Below are 22,156 nucleotides of genomic sequence, written 5' to 3'. Positions count from 1 at the left end.
CTAGTTTCGCTTGTAGGTTCAATTGGCACTTATTGACTGATATCATGGAGACTACTTTTCACTACTGTACCCTAAAAAATCTAAGATGAAAAATCAAAACATTCCAGAACAATCTAACTCTCTGTATGATCTAATTGGTTACAATAAATAGTAAGTAATAATTCTGCTCTTTACCCTTTTCTCATCTTGCCAATCTTATCCTTGCCCCTTTCTCCAGCCCTGTCTTATTTCTTCCATTCATTCACAAGATCTTAAGTTAAACATCACTTTTTCAGAAAGCTTTCCCTCACCCTCTAAAATAAGAAGGTCCCCCAAACTGAATTGCCATTCAACACTCTGTACTTTTACCATATCGTAACATTTATTACACTTTATATAATTTTTTTATCTACCTCTCAGTTTCTGGTTCACTGCTGTGGCCCCAGTGTCATGTATAGTGTGTGATGCCTAGTAAATACTCTGTTATTTTTGTTGACTATAAATACAAAGGAACATTCATGAATTTCACAGATTGTACGTTATTCACTATCATTAATACATTGCTTGTGTATTAATGATAATATTGAACAAGCAAAATTCTAAGGGATATGGTTATTGTATGATTTTTCTGAGCCATGTTTTAAATGTCAGTAAAGCTAAGAAGTACATTAATTATTATACTTTGATCCAACAATGTGGGGCTTTTTTTTTTTTTCAGGATGCAGAAGAATATACAGATTTGCCAGTGAGACACAATGAAGATCATATGAATAGTGAACTGGCAAAATGTCTTCCCATTGAATCAAATCCTCATTCATTTGACAGCCCTCACACCAAAGCACATCTCCTGCTACAGGCACATCTCAGCCGAGCCATGCTACCCTGCCCAGATTATGACACTGATACCAAAACAGTCTTGGACCAAGCTCTCAGAGTATGTCAGGTATGAAAGTCATTTCTAATACCTATGTGTGTTTTCTCCCATCATTCCTGCCCTCTTTTTTCTAGTTTTAGGATAAAATGTACTTGCATTTAACAACTTTATGGTAGCATTGTTGAGAAACAACTGGTTGATCATATCAAGAATTTCCAAAGTAAAAGCAAATATAAATGAAATAAGATGACAGTTTTAGTCACCCATTCTACTAAAACATATTGAAGGCAAACTACGTGCCAGATACTTTTCTAGGCACTGAGCATATAATAATTAACAAGACAGAAGAGTCCCTTCTGTTAACGGACTTTCACTCAAGACGGGGAAGACTGACAATTTAAAATATAAATTAATAGGTAATAACTGCCATTTTTCAATAACTGCTATTTTTTAAAAAAAATAAAGAATGGTAAAATAAATAAAGAGAAAGACGGAGGGTAATGTTTTGTACCATTTTTTAATATGGTATTCAGGAACTATCTCACTGGTAAGGTAACATTTAACTAAAAATGAAAGAAGAGAGTGAACCGTAGGGTCTCTGGAGGTGTGTATTCAAACACTAAGAAAGTTTGCATGTAGGAAGTTACTTGGTATATTCAAGGAGTATCAAAGAGGCTTATTGTAAAAAAGGTCAAAAGAGATGGTTAAAACAATAAAAAAAAGTGAGAAGTATTGCAGTTTTTACATTTTGCAAGTATCTTTAATCTCCAACTTAAGAGATCAACTAGATTTATATATCTTCTTTTACAATCAACATAAAATGTCTGTTGCAATAGGATGTGTTAGTTGAAGTATATGAAAAAAATCCAGCCTAGAGAGGTAAACAGTTTAAAAAGAGAAGAGTATTTTTATAGCCTTTTCAGATAATTGTGGGTATTCTTTAATGCTACACTAGAATCTGACAAGTGATATTTCTTGAAGATTAGTTGCAATATGGAATCTGAAACCATATCAATGACCTTTTTATACCTTAAGTGCTGTAGTGCTAGACAATAAATGATGGTGGTTTGAGCAGGTTAGTATGGGTGAGGTTGATTAAAACTGGTCAGATATTGAATATTTTTCTAAGGAGAACTAACAGACTCTTCTAATGAATTGAACAAGGGTTTTTAGGGAAAGCAAGGAACCAAAGATTATTTCAAGGCTTTTCTCCATAGCAACTAGAAGCATGGAGCTGACATTACTGGGGGATGATTGTCAGAAGAGCCGGTTTTGGTGGGGGAAGAATACCTAAAGGATTGCGATTATAAAGGATTTCGATTTTCTACTTTATACCTTTTTTGGACATGTTTCTAAACATTTTTTTTTTCATAAAACCCATTTTTAAAATTTTCAAAAGATTTAAGTTCTTTAAAGGTAGAGTAAGTTAGTCTATATATGTACAAGAATATACATTATGAAATGATTTGCAAAGTTAAGGCTTGGAAATAACCTAAGTATCTCTCAGGTTATCAGAACACTACAAAATATTACAATTCCATTTATGAACTCTACATTTGTATAGAATGTCCATATCTGTATATGAACATATACCCAGAGAGGAGATCCAGAATGGTGTCCACCAAAAGATTAACAGTAGCCGTATCTGAGCAGCAGGAATTGGGGTGATTTTTAATTTTTTTCTTTATGCTGTTCTTAAATGTTTGAATGTTTTAAAATTGGCCTCAAACATTTTTGTTACCAAAAATAACAATTTTATTGTTTTAGAAACTGAAGAATTATTTAAAAAATAGAGTAAGCTCAAGTTATCAAAATTGGAAGGGAAGTAAGGCTATAATAAACATGTAACACGTTTTTACACTCTTTTGTAACTAACACATGGTTTACTTATTGAGGAAGGTGATTTGCTACTGCTTATTAGTCACACTTCACAAAGGTTAAAGGTCCTAAAGTTTTAGCTGTTGCCCTGGATACTCATTTGTGTTTCCTATAACTTCCTTTCCTCTCTCAAACACTTAACTTGTTAATGAACTCTGGGGTCAGAAAGGGTTGAAGAGAAGTGGCAAGATGAATTAAATTTTTATATTTGCAGATATATTGATTGTACATTGTAATTTTTATATGTATATTACTTCTAAAACCTATATTGCGTGATCAGTTCATTGATTCATTTTTAGCACTCAGTCAATAATGATTCAAAAGCCATATAATAATCTAGGAAATTTCTTAAAGGAGTCTGTTTCTAAATTTACTTTTAAGGAAAAGGATTCAGCCAGGTACTTTTAGCCTCTATTAGATATTTTTATATACAGTATATATATTTATACAGTATATATATCTATATATATCCTTATATACAGTGTCTGGGATAATATTTATATTTCTTAAATATTGTTGATCCTTCTAAACAGCATTTAAAGAGAAATCGTTTTCTCTTTAATTATAAAAATAGTATGCTTCATTGTAGATAATTTGGAAAAGCAGCATACTAAAATTAAAGTCATTCATAGTAATTATACCTTCACCCACATGAGTATGAGGGTCTTTTCTTTTTTTCAATGAATTTTTAATTTTCTTAAAATTAGACTTTCGTTTTGAAATAATTTCAAGCTTACAAAAAGTTTGTAAAATACTACAATGAAATTTTCTTGTACATTTTACCCAGCCTCCCCTAAAGGTAACATCTTAACTCGGTGTTGGTTCAGTCCTATTAACAAATCTACAGACCTATTCAAATTTTGTCAGTATGAATTTTATCCCAATAATTGCCCTTTCTCTCTCTGTACCATGATCCAATTCAAGATCCCACGTTTCATTTAGTTGTCATGTCGCCTTAGTCTTCTTGTCTTTCTTGGCACTTGTGAAGAGTACCAAGCAGTTATTTTATGGAGTTATCCCACAGTTTGGATTTGCCTGATGTTTCCTTCTGATTACATTTAAGTTTGTGGTATTCTTTGTCAAGAATACCACAGCAGTGATGGTTTGTCCTCTTAGTGTATCATATCAGGAGGCTTATGACAGATGTGTATGGCAATGATATTGACTTTATACAATTGAGGTGATGTCTGCCAGCCTTCTTCACTATAGAGTTACTTTTTCTTTTGTAATTAATAAATATATTTGGGGAGAAACTTTGAGATTATATAAATATTCTGTTTCTTGTCATAGTTTTTAACATTATTTTCAGCATCCATTTGTGATATTTGCCCAGAACAATTACTACTGTGATTTTCTTTTTTAGTCATTCCTGGAATTATACTATAAGGAAGAACTTCCCTTCTCCCCCATTTATTTACTTTATTCAGTTATTTATTTATGTAAGTATAGACTCACCCCAGTGTTTCTTGAATACTACCTTGCATTCTGGCATCTTGTGCTGTCCCTGCCCCAGCTTTGGAATCGGCCATTTTGTTTTTAAGAAACTTGGTTCCTTTTATTAGAGAATGGTTGTAGAAACTAAAATCTGGACTGGGCATGGCAGTTCATACCTTTAATCTCAGCACTTTGGGAGGCCAAGACAGGAGGATCACTGAGGCCAGGAGTTCAGAACCAGCCTAGGCAGCATAGTGAGACCCCATCTCCACGAAAAAATTAAAAATTATCTAGGTGTGGTGATGGATGGTAGGGGGTGCCAAGGTGAGAGAATTGCTTGAACCCAGGAGGTCAAGGCTGCAATGAGCCATGATCAAGCCACTGTGCTCCAGCCCGGGTGATAAGAGTTAGATCCTGTCTCAAAAATAGAAAATCTGGGTGCTTGCTGCATTCCATTGCTACTTGGGTGTCTTTGCTTCTAGGCCCTCTGTGTACAAAGCAAGGAAATGTAAGTATGTATACACAGACATTTGTATTTATTTGCATGTCCATTTACCTCCCGTGTGTATGTGTGTGTAAAAACATCTATATTTATCATTCTTATACCTCTTATTTCAATCTAAGACCAAAGGGTTCACTTAGTCTTCCTCCTTTTTTATTAATAACTCCTCTTTCTACCTGTAAGGTATAACACTATTGTTAATAAAGATATATTTATTTAGCTCCTCAATCCTAGAATATTCAGTGTTGTAGTTTTAGAATTACTAGCCCTTACTCTTGCAAAAAGCAGATGCTAACTAAAATGCAGTAGTTGTTTACAGTTCTTTTTTTCCTTTAGAGACTTTTTCTTCATACATTTACACGCACAGTCACTTTTTTCTTATAGAAATATCTTCTGTTATTTTATAAATGCCTAATAATTTATAGCATTAAATATTGTTCTCAAGAATAATTTCTAATGGCTACACTATATTCCCTCATATAAAATATCATAATTTATTTAGTGAGTTATCTGTTATTAGACATTTGGGTATGCAGTTTTCCTCGATTTTAAGTTATAAGCATTCGTTTTGACCATCTTAAATGTTTGGCTTGGCTTGTCGGAAGCCACCTGGAAAGAAAACTGCATTGTAAAGAGATGAAAACCAGCTTCTGCTGGGCGCCATGGCTCATGCCTATAATCCCAGCACTTTGGGAGGCCAAGCCAGGTGGATCACAAGGTCAGGAGTTCAAGACCAGCCTGGCCAAGATGGTGAAACCCCATCTCTACTAAAAATACAAGAATTAGCCGGGGGTGGTAGTGGGCGCCTGTAATCCCAGCTACTCGGGAGGCTGAGGCCGAGAACTGCTTGAACCGGGGAGGCGGAGGTTGCAGTGAGCCAAGATCGCGCTGCTGCACTCTAGCCTGGGTGACAGAGCAAGACTCCATCTCAAAAAAAAAAAAAAAAAAAAACACGAAAACCAGCTTCATATTCTAAATCCTCTCACTCTTGGAAGTTCTCTACAAAATTGTGTGAAAGTAAACAAGCCAGAAAGAGGAAAGAATATTAGAGTTGCCAATGGGAAACTTGGAGAAAATGACTGATTGGCAGTTCTAATTCTGTGCCCTGTTGTTTTCATTTGATAACATGGGTACTATTGGCCTTAGAAAGCACTGGTTCAAGCAGTTTGCAGCTCTGCTGGCTGATTGAAAATTATACTACCTCTCTCATGGGACATCAGCATGATCTTGCAAACTGTGGATGGGAATCTGCCACCAGTTCTGACTGTAAATTCTCCTCTGCTGCCATTTTAGTATAAGGCCATAGGCAAGTCACTTAACCTCTGGTATCTGAGTAAAACTAACACCTTAGAAGAGTGGTGCATTAGTTAATGTTTAGAAAGTAAACAACAATTTCAGGACTTGGAAGTAGGTCTTAGTATCTTCATTCTTAGTAGTTCTTTTATTTCCTCGCTTTATCATAGTAATTTAACTATTCCCTTTATTTTATAGAAGCATACCTTTTATTTGCACCATCATCCAGACTATGAAAACTCTGTAGTCTTGACTACTCATGTTCTGAGCAGTCTTTCACAAAAGAAAAACATAGTTGTAGTAGAATTATTCCTCCTGGCTTGAAGTCAGAGTCTACAATACAGCCTGCCTTTGCTTCTCCTATCCCATTTCAAATTATGTATCAAGGGCATTTGTGTCATTTTTTGGTTTGAGATATTTTTGTCATGGTTCCTTTCAATATGTTACTGTTACTAGCATTTCCTTTGCTATCCCCCTTAACAAAAATAAATGTCAAAATTACTATGCATATCTCAATTTTTAAAATTTGTTTACAATATTCTAATTTGTAAATTGCATATTTATGGAATTGATTGTCCTTGCCCTTTACCTTTGAAATCCTCTTCTTGATCATATTAACTGCAAAATGTATTTGTAAAATGTAGTAAGTGATATGACAGCCTTTCTGTACTGGATATGCCAAAGAAAAGCTTCATGTTAGCTCTTATGGAAAAATTAAAGTAAAAAGTATCAAAAATTTAAGTGAGTTGTCTAAATGTTCAAATTTGGTGACAAAACCAGAACTAATGATAAATGTCTAGTGTTTTGAGTACCTCTCTGCCTTTTTTGTGTATTTTTTGTTTGTTTGGTTGGTTTTGATTTTTGGTTTTTGGTTTTTGCCTGGGCAACAGGATCTTGCTCTGTCTCCCAGGCTGGGTGCAGTGACACCATCTTGGCTCACTGCACCCTTGACTTCTGGGCTCAATGGATTCTCCCACCTCAGCCTCCTGAGTAGCTGGGACTACAGGTGCAAGCCACCACGCCTGGCTAATTTTTTGTATTTTTTGTAGAGACAGAGTTTCACCATGTTGTCCAGTCTTGTCTCAAACTTCTAGGACTACAGGCGTGAGCCACCACGCCCAGCCCTGACACTGTTTTTTATCAAAGAACAAAGCAGTTGGTTTTCAGAGAAGTTAAATAGCTCTGCTAAAGGTGATTTGTTGAGGCAATTTGTGCTGAAACCAAATGGAGATTCCAGGACTTTTATTCTTGCTCTGATATCTCTGATCCTTTCTAAGATGTGCCACCAGTCTGCAAATTAAAAAATAATCTTCATTTAAGTGAAAAACACCTAAATATAATACTAAGCCAAATAGTATAAGAATATGTGTTTATATCTTGGTCACTCTCACTACTTCCTATATATGGTATTTATTTCAAAACTTTCCAGTAATTGAGCTTTCATATGTGTTATGCAAAAAGAGAAACCATGGCTTATGGAGCCTGAACTCAGTGATCTGAGAAGCAGAGGGCTGTGTGTTTCCAAGTTTAATTGTGCTGTCAATTGACTGAGTTAGTTTGGGAAAGTTTTTTTTCAGAAGTCATAGAGGCTAGATTTGCCCTTCAGCTCATGTTATCAAGCCTGCAGCCTACATTTTAACAGATCAAAACACTTGTGTGTATTTTAAGATTTATTTTACATCAAAACACTTGTATGTATTTTAAGATTTATTTTAAAGGATTCTAGCAGCAATATTCTTTTCAGCCCTAGTAAAAGTTTTGTTTAATTCTAAGATGCCATCATAGTGAACAACCTTAACTTCAGTGCTACATAACTATATTCAAAGCTTTATGTATTTTTGTTTATAATTACACAGTAATTATAAATGCTTAGTACCAACCTTATGACAAACACTATTCTGTTGAAAAGGTTTTGCATTTAAAAAGAAAAATATATAAAATCCAAGGCACTAGGCCACAAACGAATATCAGACTTTTGAAGAAAACACTTTATATTGAAAAACAAAAACAAAAAAACAAAACAAAAAAAAACAGCTAATGGGATCTTATTTCAAAACACAGCATATGTGAATTAATCAGTCTGAAAACAATAACTATAACTCAAAATCTTCAAAACAGGAAACAAAACAGTACATATGTATAGAGATATATGTATCTTTTAAAAGTGTTTCATAATTGAAATTCTCCTTTATATTTACAAAAATGAAATCAGGAAATACTGAAAGCAGCAGGATTCTTCTTTTTCCTTTTTCTTTTAATAACCAATTCCAGTAGCCTGAATATAAATTTTCAGATTTTTCTTTTGGTAAAACTGCATTCTTGAATTAAAATTATGATTGGAATATTAATATGTTTATAGGGAAAGCTTTCTAGTCTATTTCAAAATCATGTAAATGAAAAGCAGTTTTAATGTGTCATTGTTTCTTAAAATAATTTCCATATTTGCATAAAATGTACTGCTATTCTGAAATACATTCCTTTGTTAATATCAACCCTAGACCTTAGAGAGTGCCTGGATATACCAAGCAGAATCTGCTCTTATCAAAAGACCATAATCATCTAACATTTGAAGTATTACATTTCTAGCCTGCCTTACGGCAATGTTTAAGAAAGCAAGAAACCCTTCTTTGAGTGTCAGTAAGTGAACAGAGAAATGATCATTTTCAGCATAAAAGCAGCTCATGGCTTTTGTAATTTAAAAAAAAAAAAAAAAAAAAATATATATATATATATATATATATATATACACACATACACACACACACACACACACACACACACACACACACGCAAGATAGCATTCTGCTTTGATGAGAAAACTGAGCTAATCTGAGTGAAACAAAAACAGTAAATAGACTAGAAGCCAGACTGGTATTTTGCATCGTGTATGCTTGTTTGAAAATCTTTGCTTCTGAAGTAAATATTTGGCAACCACAGTGATTAGCAGTTAAAGTAATTTCAACAAAATAAGAAGTCATTAAAAATGGACTGTTTGTCTGAAAGAGCAGTACCTATATTATAAAGATTGAATTTCGTGGCTCATCACAACCATTTTCAAAATTTAACTCCTACTATCTTCTTATAAATTAAGAGAATTTCATTTGTGTTCCATAGTGCAATGACAAAAAAAAAAGTAAAAACAAAACAAAAAATAAACCCTCATGCCTAAATTTAGAATATTGTATTGTGTAGCAATCCAAAACATTCAAAACACATTAAATAGTTTAACTTATGTGACAGGCAGATAAGCATTTCAAAAGCATAATGAAGTCCAATTATGTAGTGCATAATGTAGACAGGAGTAGAATCTTACATTATGCGGGCATTTTCTAAATAAAAGCTCCCCACAGGACAACTATATATAAACATGGGTAAGGTAAGCGCAGACTAGTTCTGTGGAACCTTTTGAAATCAAGAGTCTGAAACACAATACATTTTTCAGGTAGGCACCAAGTTATTCTAAAAATTTTTCACGTTGGTTATTCTGACATTGTTTTTTCATCAGATACTCTAGTCACATCAACAACACATGTCATTTGCCAGGAAAAAAAAAAATTCCCCCCAAACCAAAATACCATTCCAGATCCAGTATACTTAAATATATCACCCTTATTGGAAGTGCTGTTAACATAGTCTTTGCAACTAGCCCAAAGCGTAGTTTAAGAAGTTCTTATAAATGGCTTTGTGATGTTCATATGTTTAATTCTTATGCCAACTGTTTTCTGATGAAGACAGCATTGTGCTTTATGCAAGAATGGAAACCTCAAAATAATCACCATAAAGCTTCTAGGACTTATGGGAGAATAAAGTAGGATGGTCCACAGATGTAAGATGAAATCCACAATGTTGGAATTATAAATGTTTAGAGCAGCCCAGACTAGAAGACAAGCCCAAACCACCATTAGAAGAATGAAATACAATATGGTCCAAGATGTATCCTTAAAGTTTTGTCTCAACCCTCAGTCTGAATTGTGAGAATTGATCTTTAGTTCAGTCCAGCCAGCAGAAATTGTGCAATTTTCTGTTGTATTTATTGTACAGACTATGTACGTTCTAGAAGATTCCTTTAGTGCTACACTGTTGTACTTTTTGTCCCAGCAGTTTGAGGGCGTGCAAATTCCACAAAGTCATCAATAAGAACAGGCCATGCTCCTTCATCATAATTAGACACGTGATTTGCAATCACTGTACTGAAGTCTAAAAGAAGATTCCAAGTGTCTTTTGGTATTGATTGTTTGTGATGTTCCACAAAAATTTATTCCATAAGTCTAAGAATTTAAATCTTCTATTAAGCACTAAGTTCCAGTAGGCAATGGCCATTTCTAGATCTAATCCTTTTTGTCTTGGATTCTTTGCAAAATTAAAAGTAAACTGGTAAAAATCCTTAAATTGTCCTGGTTCTTTCAATTCTTGTTACATCTTGGGTATCTGGGCCTTTAGTTTTTCTATGCTGTCACATCCTAATTCTGTCATGCCATCCATGAACTCCTGTTTGGAGAACTCACACTGTATTGCTGCTCTGAACATCCATGCAATAATCAACACACTAATGCTGGCTGGATTGAGTGCCAGGCCATCACAGAACTGCTATATACCATCTATTCCAATTTTATTCTCATTTTGAGGATCTTTGTCTCTATTGTACAGTTGTTCTAACTTCTTCCTTTCCAGTGATCCTTTTACACTCTCTCATATATAAAGTTCAGGATTTTGGAAAAAATTATCTGTTGCAACATCTAACTTCCAGTCATTTTGAGATAGACAACTTACTGCGGTTTTTTTCACTAGATTGTGTGAAGATCATAAACTGACAAACTTTATCCTTCTGCGATGATTTCAACTTGTTCATGTTGGTGTCCTCCAGGCCTCTCCCCTCCTCCTGTGGCTCTGAGCGAATGAGCAGCAATATTCTTAAAGACTACAAGAAAAATGATGTTAATTCATGAAAGGAAAACACATCTCACACACATGCACATAGAGAAATGTGACAGTGTACACTGATTAGAAAGATTTCTAGAAACCTATGCTTGCAAATTTAAATTGGAATTAATGTATGTTAAATACCAAATTATACCAGAATATTTGGAGAACTGCACACCATTCCTGTACCTCCTACCAAAAAAGAAAAAAAAAAAAATCACGATTTAATGATGGGCCCTAAGGCAAACATCATGACAGCTGTGGTAATGGTGAACATTTATTGAGGGCTTTCTTCGTATCAGGCCCTGTTGTACTTGCTTTGCATTTAATTGACCCATTTTCTACAATAGTCTAGTGAAGCAGTACAATTATTACTCTCGTTTTACTGATGAAGACTAGGTAACTTTCCCAAAATCACATCAGAAGGCAAAAACAGCTTTCAGCACAGGTTGGATATACCATAAAAATGTATTTGACTGTGTTTCCTTTGTCCTATATTGATGGATTTTAAAATTGTACCCATGATCTAGTGAGAATTTGTTTTAAAATTTGAGAACTTCATAGAAATTTCTACATTTTTTAACCGAGAATTCCCATTAGACCATGAATAATATTTTTAATCCCTGTTTTTCAATGCATACTTAAATCACCTCCTTTTAATTACTCAGGTTCCCTTTTCAACGGTCTGCCTGTATTTACTTTAACCAGTTTCTAAGAGGGATTTGGTAATTTGATTGAATATTTGTAACTGCTTTATTATATCACTCTACAGTGTCCAGTTGGTAGGGTGTTTGCCTTTTTTGTATCAACTGCTTATGCATCTTCTCAAGTTTTTATATTATGCTATATAAACTAATGAATTAACCACTTGTTTCCTCACATTCTCCCATAAAGCTACAATAATTGAAAATAATGAGAGAAAGATCAGATTGTTGATCCATAGGGAGAAGGAAGAATAACATCATAATTATAAGATAGCCCTATAATAAAAGGTAAATGCACACTAGAATAATTTCTGCGTAGGTTTACTATAATAAACACATACACACACACACACACACATTTTATGTTCCTCTCTCATTTTAAGGTTTGCCTCCTTAGGTTAGTTTTTTGGCTTCTTTCACTGTCTAACCACCACCACCACCACTGATGGTGCCACCTGGATAGCAAACTTTGTCCACCTACTGGTTCTTTTTGAAAAACTTCAAACTTCTAGAAGTAATAGGCAATCTCAGAGGTTCCTTGCCTCAAGATATGGAACTACCAATTCCCCCAAAAGATAGCAGATATCTCCTCTTTACTATTGAGGAAGAATGTAAAGATCTGTCTTCCAAGGTAAATGTTAGTATAGATTGAATTCATATTCCATTGCCCTAATGGAAGTAGCCAGCACAGCTGCTTTGAAAGTATTCTAGGTGATTCAGTGTGCCTGAAAGGAAGACCTTTAAGGAGCTATGTTCTGGTGGATAAGTTTCCATTGTTATATATAGTCTTGGCTCTAACTTTAGTAGGGGAGCTTTCATTTTATATTATTTTCCTTAACACCCAAGTATTTTTTTTTCTTTTAGTGAAAGCAAGTTTATTAAGAAAGAAAAGGAATAAAAGAATGACTACTCCATAGGATGAGCAGACAAGTCTTTTTGATCTACTGAGTTTCCAGTCTTTCTTCTCTTTCGCATGTGAGATACTATGTAGACTCCAATTAATGTCACAGTGTTCTAGTAGGCTTTATCAATTGTCATATGTGCTAGCCAAAAAAATAAATCAGCTGCATAAATAAAGGGAAGAAGTATATGAATTGTATGTCTATACCTTTCTTCATTCAAACAACCTTCCTATATTTGCAAAAACAAATCTTTACAAGTATATTGGTGGGATTGTTGTTTAGCCTAAACTTCAATAATTTGACCTCTTAATCTCTGTAACAACTTCTGATAAACTAAAATTATATTACATTTCACATAGCTAGTATTATATTTTTCCTATAATTCACAGATATTCTGAAAATGCATTTTATCTTTAATCTATTTTTTAAAGTATATTAGCAGATAACCTTAAGATATGTATGGGCCAAGTGCAGTATCTCATGCCAGTGATCCCAACAGGGGGGAGCTGAGGCAGGAGGATCACTTGAGGCCAGGAATTCGAGAACAGCCTGGGCAACAACAAAGTGAGACCCCATATCTACCAAAAAAAAAAAAATTAGCTGGGCATGGTGGCACTCACCTGTAGACCCAGCTGCTTGGGAGGCTAAGGAGGATCATTAGAGCCCAGGAGTTTGAGGCTGTGGTGAGCCATGATTCATGCTGCAGCACTCCAGCCTGGGTGACAGAGCGAGATGCCATCTTAAAAAAAACAACAAAAAAAAAAACAAAGAAGATGTGTGTGTATATCTATGGATACACACAGTAGAGTCTGAGAATAGGAAAGAATAAGGGAAGAAAAAGAAGATATAACGATGTGGGTATTTTTCATTAAAAATTATTTTAAGTGAAAGATATTATGACTGTAAGCTGGTTCTATATTTTCATTAACAAATGATTCTCATTTGTAGTAGATTAAAAAGCATAGGAATATTTTATGATGCCAGGAGGTAGAATTGCCATGGAGCAGAGTGTTTACGTATAGATGCACTAAGCTCAGGCTCAGTGGGTTGGTGATGTATTAAAGAATGTCAGTGTCATTTAAGAGTTTTAGAATTGCAGAGTTTAAATACATTTAGCAGTGAAAATAGTCCAGGTATTGCTGAGCTTAACAATAGAAGTACTTGGTGAAACCCTTAATGCAATACCTGTACGAAATGTTTTGATATAGCAAATGGTAGATAAAGTCTTGTGTATTACTGTAGAATCTTTTCAAATTTTTAAATGCTTATAATTAGACCAAGAAAACGTTCTCTTTAAATAGACAGTACTGCGCAAGAAGCTTCAGAAAGCTTCTTCTAATCATTTTGAGAAAAAGATGGGTAGATTATAAGTAAATAATTTATGGATATGTTTCAAGGAACTATGAGCATTAATACTATAAGCATACATTGGGGTCTTTTGTATCATCTAAAGTATGCTGGAAACTTATCAACTATAACAACACCGACTGTTAAGGTGACTTGAGTACAATGCTTGGGGTATATAGATCTCAGTGTATCATAGGTAAATAAATATTTCACTTTTTTCTTTTTAGTTCTTTTATAGGCAAGACTGGAAAAAGAGATTTTTTGTTTGTGGAGTCTTACAATGTTTTTAAGATTTTCTGCCAAATCTGAATTATCCACAAACAAATGTAGTTTACTTATTGTAAGTATTAATGTGACCTTATCAAATTCATAGAGATGAAGGTGAAATCTAATTCAGGCTGCATTCCTGGCCAGACTGCCCGGAGTTCATATTCTGCCATAAAAACCTGATGAAGTCGTATTAGTGGATGACTAAAAACAAATAATTCTAAATGAACTTAATCCTGAGTGATTATTCTTCCAAATGCAAAGGACCACACAGTGGTGCAGAATCCTAGTCCTAGATGGTCAAAGCTATATTTTATCTCCCAAAACACCACCTAAAACAAAGCACCATTCTCCACTAGGGAAGTGATACAGAGTTGATGCATTTAGCTTTCCCAAAACTAACACAAATGTGTGGATTTTGAGGTGTTAAACACCTTTACTTACTCTTGTGGATTTATAGCCAATCTCCCTTCAAGGACTATAATATAATTTGGAAGGCTGTTTTCCCTCTGGGTGACTTTACCTGTAAGCTTTTGTATAACAATTTGGTGGTGGTTTGTTGATGATATGATGCTATTATGAAGGATCCTTCTACCCCCTGCTCCTCTCCTTATACCCACATAACAACCCTTTTCCCGGTTGGGGCTGTAGGAAATGAGTAATGCTTAACCCATTTGTGTGATCAATTCACTTAAGCAGCTACTGTGAAATGTTAATCACAACTTTAATTTGTACTGCATTAGCATTTTGATTAACTTGTAGGCTTGCTAGCACACTTGAAGCGCTTTTACTCATAGTTACAGCTCGGAAATGACTTTTTGATTAATTAAGTTTGTTAGACAGCAGCTGAGCTTCCTGAATGCTAACCTTCTGGGGGTAAAAGTTCAGGAGAAAGTTACTATGAACAACTGTTGCTATTGAAAAAGATTCTTATAAATGTACTTATAGCATTTTAATTATTGACAAAATATTGTATCATTACTTGCAAGTGACCTGAACCTTTAAAGGAGTGGCTTTTCTGTCAAGAAAGCTTTTTCAGGTTTTCCCATCATTGTAAAACTTCTGGGAGCTCTTGAACTAAATAGTGCATTTTCTAGCAGATGTCTAACAACTAATGTTTTAACAAGCTGCCTAGGATCAATTTCCGTAATTTTTTTAAATAAACTTTTTGCTTGAGAATAGTTTTACATTTCCAGAAAAGTTGCAAAGATAGTACAAAGTTCCCATATACCTAGAACCTATTTTTCTTCTAATATTGACGTCTTAAATATATTAGTAAGGTACATTTGCTACAATTAATAAGCCAATTTTGGCAAATAATTATTAACTAAAGTCTATACTTATTCACAATTCTTTTTCACCTAATATCCTTTTTCTTTTTAAAATTTTTTTCTTGATATATAATACTTGTACCTATGTTGAGGGTACATATAACATTTTGATACAGGTATACAATGTGTGATGATCCCTAATGCCGTTTTCTATTCTGGAGTCTCATTGTAGATATCCCTTTAAATTCAGTAGTCATTTCTCCGGCTCCTCTTGGCTCTGAAAGTTTCTCAAACTTTCCTGTTTTTGATGATCTTTCCATAGTGTTTTGCATTCTTGTGATACTTTATAAATAACAACTTGGTTTTTATAAATTAATGTAATTTTTCTCATTTTGGCATAAATAAATTTCTTTCTTTTAAACTCTGATGACAATATATCATCCCCATGTCATTTAATTTGAACAGACATGCCTCACTTCAACCTTTGTCATGATCTTATTTTCTCTTTTCTTTTTCTTTTTCTTTCTTTCTTTTTTTTTTTTTTTTTTTTTTTTTTTGAGACAGGGTCTCACTCTGTCACCCACACTGGAGTATAGTAGCCTCAACCTCCTGGGCTCAAACGATCCTTCCACCTCAGGCTCCAAGTAACTAGGACCACAGGCACACACCACCACACCCAGCAATTTTTTTTTAATGGGATCTCACTGTTTCCCAAGCTGGTCTTGAACTCCTGGGTTTAAGTGATTGTCCTGCCTTGGCCTCCCAAAGTGCTGGGATTACAGGCGTGAGCCACTGCTCCTGGCAGTGATCTTATTTTCGTATGTTTATTGTAATCCCTATACTAACACTAGATACATTAAGATGATGACAAGAGATATGGGAAAAAGGAGGAAAGGTTCCTTGAAGAGGAGGAAGGATAAAGGGAGGAGGAAGAGAGAACATAAGTCTAAAGAATACTAAGAAGCAGAGAGAGCCTGGAGCCATCTGTCCAGTTCCATGAATACACCCTACAGCCACAGAGACTTGAGGACACTAAGGATTAAATTGACAGATTTCTTAAACTGAAGTTTAGATTTTAGGGGAAATTTTTAAAATAATGAGCCTTAGAGCTAGATTTTATTATCCACCCTTCAACCTACCTCTTTATGTACATTTAATGATACGGATTTTCGTTTAGTAGACTAGGTCAGTGATGCTATTTCCTTGCAATGAAACTGACATAATTTTATCACAGTGCTCAATGTTCCTATTTTACTTTTGGATTATTTAAATCCAGAATTCAGTCATGTTTCAAAAGATAAGTGCCTGAAGATCAAATGTCAAGATGTAGTTATAACCAAATGGTAGGTTAAAATTAATTTTAAAATTTTAGATTTTCAAAAAATATGTTGATAAAATTTACCCACAGAGACAATAATGAATTAAATACATAATAATTTTGTCTGGAGTTCACATTTTTCTGCTGTGTGGGAAACAAGGTCAGATGTAAGCCACCTCAGATTCTTTTTGAAGCAAGACAGAATATGCAGAAATCAGCACACGTAATAGAATACAGTGTAATGAGCACATATATGAAACTGGAAAACCAAAATCAAGCCTTAACTTCATCATTTGTTTACCATAGTCACTAAACTTCTTTAAGCTTAAGTTCCCCTTTCTGTGAAGGGGGGTAATATTAATGCCTGCCTCATAGTTAGTATTGTTAAATATTAGATGAGAGCTGTTACTGAAAGTGTTGTATAATCTGTGCAATAATATACAAATATTTTTATCACACCATATTGCATACTCTCTACACTGTCTGACTTTATATAATTCACTGTTCAGAGCTTTTTACAATAAATTCATGGGATTTACTTAATATGAAATGTAGAAGATACGTTGTCAAGCTTAAAATGTTAGCTTTTTAAAGTATAATCTGCAACTGTGGAAGATAAGAAGAAAAGTGTCTATAGGTTTGGATAAAACTGTTCTTTGCAGAAATACTTACACCACTGTAAAAATGTGGTTGAATTTAAATGCTAAGACCAAGCCTGTTATGCGTAGGAAATTCTTAAAATTGATTCGAAATAGATGTTGAGGACATGTGGTGTATCCAAGTCATAAGGGATACCTTTGGCTTCAGGAACCCCACACCTTTAAAAATTTCCTTACAGAGACTGCCCATTTTCTAAACTCTAGAGGAGACCAGCGGAAGCCCCTCTTTTCTATGAGTTCTTGCCCACATACTCTGGAAGCAGATAATTTATCTTCCTCTGACCCCAGAAGGGTCTTTTCTCTGTATAGCTTATTTCCTGCTTAGTATATGCTACCCCTAACCTCAAGGATATTACAGTCCACCTGGAAAAATAGAAAGTAAGCTCTGTAAAAACAAATAGCTATATAGTATGAGTATGTTGGCATTTTATTGTTGAAAAATTAAAGCTTACAGAAGATAGAAGCCATTAAAAAGCACCTAATGAAACTCCTTGATTTATCAGATGAGGAAAATGAATACCAGTGGTTAAGTGATTTGCCCAAGATATTACAGCTAATTTAAAGGCACAGTACTCTAAACTCTCAGGCTAAACCTTTTTCTAGTATACCACATTCCCTCTTCAACCAGTATCATGTATTCGTGAATCATACTACTGATTATACTTCATCCAAACTTATTATTTGCTTACATTCTGTCTTGTCAGGAAAACTTCACAAAGTTTCAGTTTATCTAGTATGCACATTCCTCAGAGAATCCTTAATTCTAATTTAGAGCCCCATGCAAAGTCTACACACCTTCCCCCTCATCCTGAACTTCATAGGCAATATACTGTATTGGTTAAAGCAAGCCCTTTGAAGTCAGGTTCCCCAGAACTGGAGTCCCAGCTGTACCCATTTACCAGAGCTATGCAACCTTAGGCAGTTTTCTTTACCTTTGTAAACCAGTGTCTTCATCTGAAAAATGGTTTAAATTCAATAACTTACGTTAAATGGTTAACAGAGTGTTTGACAAATAGTAGATGCTTAACAAACATCCATCCTAATCACGACTATTTCAGCAGTGCCTGTGAGACTCCCTTAGCTGCCCTCCCCTTCCCTTTCCAGATGTCATCTCCAGGTAAACCCCACTCTGCTTCCCCTGTCTCTGCTCCATGCGTGTTCATTTTAATTATTTTGACTGCCCACTTTGTGCCCAGGATTTCTAAGTCCACAGCTCTAGCCCATACACTTTCTCCAGAGCTCATTTTCACCTGAACTTCTTGGCTTCATAGTAGCACCTCACTTAAAATGTGTTCAAAATTAAATTCATCACCTCCTCTCCAGCTCACCTCTCTTAAGTAAATGAAAACCCTATTGTTTTTGCTAACTAAAATAAGGTTTTAGTTATAGTATAATTTTATAAGTGGATACAGTGCTTGAAATCACATTTCCATTCTTCCAGGGCTGGTGATGACAAACAATTCCGAATCAACAACTCACTGAAATTGATTCCAACTTTGTAGAAGAAAGTGTCACACACAGAGTCAGCCCCCATTCATGTTTCCCCAACACTCAGAATCATCCTAGCTTTGTCTGGTAGATAGAGTGTCAAGTAGAAAGTGGATAAGAGGTAAAGGGGTATTAAGTATTTGCCTAATGTTAATGTTAAGCTGCTAATGAATGTCAAGGATAATTTATCCTCCGTGTACTAAAACAACCTTTTATTGTTTAGATCACTGAGTATTAGATCCCTAAAAAGGACTTTGGGGGTTACTTGGGAAACTCAGGCATGCTCTCCAGTTGTTACCAAAGCCATCCCCAGTCTGGGGAGGAGCATATACCTATTAGTCCTTATCTGCCAGGAAAACTGCTATAAAAGGTAGTGAGACACAAGGAACTCATCCTAAGCTCAGTCATATGAAGTGTATCAGTGCAAGCTACCAGGACTCTCCAATCCATTTGCCTGGACCATCCCTTGGCCTTAGCCCCTATCAGGTTTGGATCTCTGAACAGTCACTTGGGCTTGCCCACTCAAACTGAAAACCAGGCCCACATCCTCCAGTTTGGCCTGAGCTGCAGGATCTGTCTTTGGCCTTGTTCCCTGCCATCTTGTACAACAGTACCCCCTTATCCTTAGAACATAGTTCCAAGACCCCCAGTGGATGCCTAAAACCATGGATAGTACAGAACCTGATTACCATCAATTAGAACATGTTTCTGTTCATGTCTTCTACCCATACATTTCATGCCTTTCCAATCTTAACTAAGCATGTTTCATGCACTGAAGCATAACTTCTGCAGTTTGAGGTGTGACAGCAAAACTAACATGAATTTATTTTTTCTTCTTCACAATTTCATGGATAGACTATCCTCCCTTCTTATTGTATGCTTTAGCAACCTCAGCGTATGATTTCTTTTGTTTTCTTATTAAATCAAGAACATTCACCTTTTCACTTAAAGGAAGCACTTTGCAGCTTCCCTTTGGCGTATTCAAATTACCAGCATCACTACTCTTATACGTCAGAGCCATTATTAAGTAAAGTTAGGGTCTTAGAATATATTCCCTACAGATAAGGGGGGATTACTTTATGTTTATCTGACATTAAAACTTGTTTTTTTCTCCTGTACCATACTGTATTTGGTAGATGTGCAATAACTTAGGCAGAATGTTGTTACAATCACTGTAATTAGATTTTTACCTATATTATTTAATAAATATTTCTTGAGTGCACTGTGCTGGGACTAGAATTACAAGGAATGATTCCAGATTCTTGCCATCAATAAGCCTATACTTTAAAAGACAGATGGGTAAACAGAGGATTACAAAAGGATGATGGTGGAGTGTGTCAAGAACAGCAGAGGCACAGGAAAAATACTGTCATGCATCACATAACAGAGTTGAGTTCTGAGAAACGTGCCCTTAGGCAATTTCTTCATGTGTGAACATCATAGAGAGTACTTACACAGACCTAGATGGTATAGCCCACTACACATCTAGGCTATGAGCCTGTATAGCATGTTAGTGTACTGAATACTGTAGGAAATTGTAACACAATGATATTCATGTATCTATACATATTTAAACATAGAAAAGTTAGTTACAGAGTATATGGTTGTATAGTCTTATGGGACCACTGTTGTATATGCAGGTTCATTCGTTATTGATCAAAACATCATTATGTGGTGCTTGACTGTACCTACAACTATCTGGCAGCTTCATTGTAAAAAGTAGCATTTGAATGAGACTTGTTGGATGAATAGGAATTTCCCAGAGGGACAAAGTACAAGGAATGGTATTTGTTTAAAAAAAGAAAAAAAAAAAAGAAGAAGAAGGAGAAGAAGGAAACATTTAAAGCAAGGCTCATTGTGGGAAAATATGAGTAGTTACGTATTGCTCTACTAAGTGTACAGAGGGGGACGTGGCCAGAGTGAAAAGCAAGGACCAGACAGATCAGAGGATGCTGACTGTCATTCAGAGAAGCATCAGTTTTTTTATCCCCTACACAGTGTAAAACCATTAAAGAAACCTAAGCAGAGGAATGATATGATCACTTTTACCTTCTTACAATTCACTTCGGTAACAATGTAAAGTACAGATTGAAAAGAAATTAGATGAGAATAAAGAATAATTAGAATTTTCCAGGAGAGAAACGAAGGTCTGCACTAAAGCAGTGGGGGCAAAGAGAACAAGACAACTAGGGAGTAATTGAGCAGAGAAACTTGTAGCAACATTTTGGTTCAACTCAGTTGGGGAGCCACAAAACCTTTTACCATCACAGATTCTTGGTCTCCCCACTTGCCTTTTCTCTAAATTTAAACAAGATAAATAATAGTTTTCTATTTATTATATGGCTTTTTAATTTATTTCATATAAGTAGTGAGCATGATTTTTTTACATTTTCACATCTGGATCCTACAGTGAAAAATTGTGGGGAAATCTCATAAGTTTTATGAAATCTTTCAACTTCATCATGAAAACTTCAAAGTTAAGAACATATGGTTCATCCATCTAGCTCTTCTAGTATGTGAGCTTTTGGTCTGGAATTTATTTCCAGTCAAGTTGCAATGTAAAATCACAAGTAAAATTGCCATAGTTACTCCACATTGCAAGTTCTGACATCATCATAATACTGCATTAGGTATAATTACGCATTTCTCTTTTCCTTTTCTCTTCCCTTTGTAAGACTTAAGAGTTGTGACTTGTGAACTACTCTTTTTTGTCTATGAGTAGCATTCATCATGACCTGTTGTCTCATATACTTCAAAGACAGACAAAGTGTATTATCCTGCTGTACAGAGAAAAAGGAAGAATATAAGTGGATTTTCCCTAGATTTATAAATATGTGCATTCATACATGTATACACATTCATACACACACACATATATAAATATACCTATTATACCAACATTCTGTCTTTATGATGTATATCTAGCAGGTTAATGGATGCTAAAGACCAATTTGACCATGCCATCACATGAATCATGATATCCAGAAATTTTGATCCATTTCTCTGTAATATACTAAGAAAACCATAGATTCGTTTAACCAGATGTTTTTTAAACTTTCACTTTTTGTAAATTAGAGAACAGAGTGGGATATTCAATGCTCAGAAGGAAAATGTTTCTCTATCAACAGTACTAAGTAGTATAGCAAATTAATTTTTACAACATAGTATGCCTTAAAAATTATTTCTAAAAGTCCACTAACAACAGATTTTGTACATTTTATAAATATTTTGCTGTCATTGAGATATTTACTATTAAAGTATCATTTTAATTATTTGCTAGGCATATCTAATTTCTCCTGTCTTCATATCCTCATTTCCCA

At 34.8% G+C, this 22,156-nt stretch overlaps 1 protein-coding gene and 1 pseudogene across 5 annotated transcripts in view; one reads left to right on the top strand and one right to left on the bottom strand.

The window, feature by feature from the left end:
• Positions 1-22,156, top strand: part of ASCC3 (activating signal cointegrator 1 complex subunit 3) — a 373,136-nt gene that overhangs the window by 340,245 nt on the left and 10,735 nt on the right. For all 5 annotated transcript variants that reach the window (NM_006828.4, XM_011535394.4, XM_047418108.1 and 2 more), the window contains one exon: positions 698-922. In NM_006828.4, the coding sequence (NP_006819.2) occupies positions 698-922 (225 nt within the window). The remainder of the gene's footprint in view (positions 1-697; positions 923-22,156) is intronic.
• LOC153893 (defective in cullin neddylation 1 domain containing 1 pseudogene) lies at positions 9,655-10,857 on the bottom strand (annotated as a pseudogene).

The sequence above is a fragment of the Homo sapiens genome, chromosome 6, assembly GCF_000001405.40.
Source record: "Homo sapiens chromosome 6, GRCh38.p14 Primary Assembly".
Classification (NCBI taxonomy): Eukaryota; Metazoa; Chordata; class Mammalia; order Primates; family Hominidae; genus Homo; species Homo sapiens.
The sequence above is the reverse complement of the archived record's forward strand: the minus strand, read 5'-3'. Positions and strand labels throughout refer to the sequence as shown.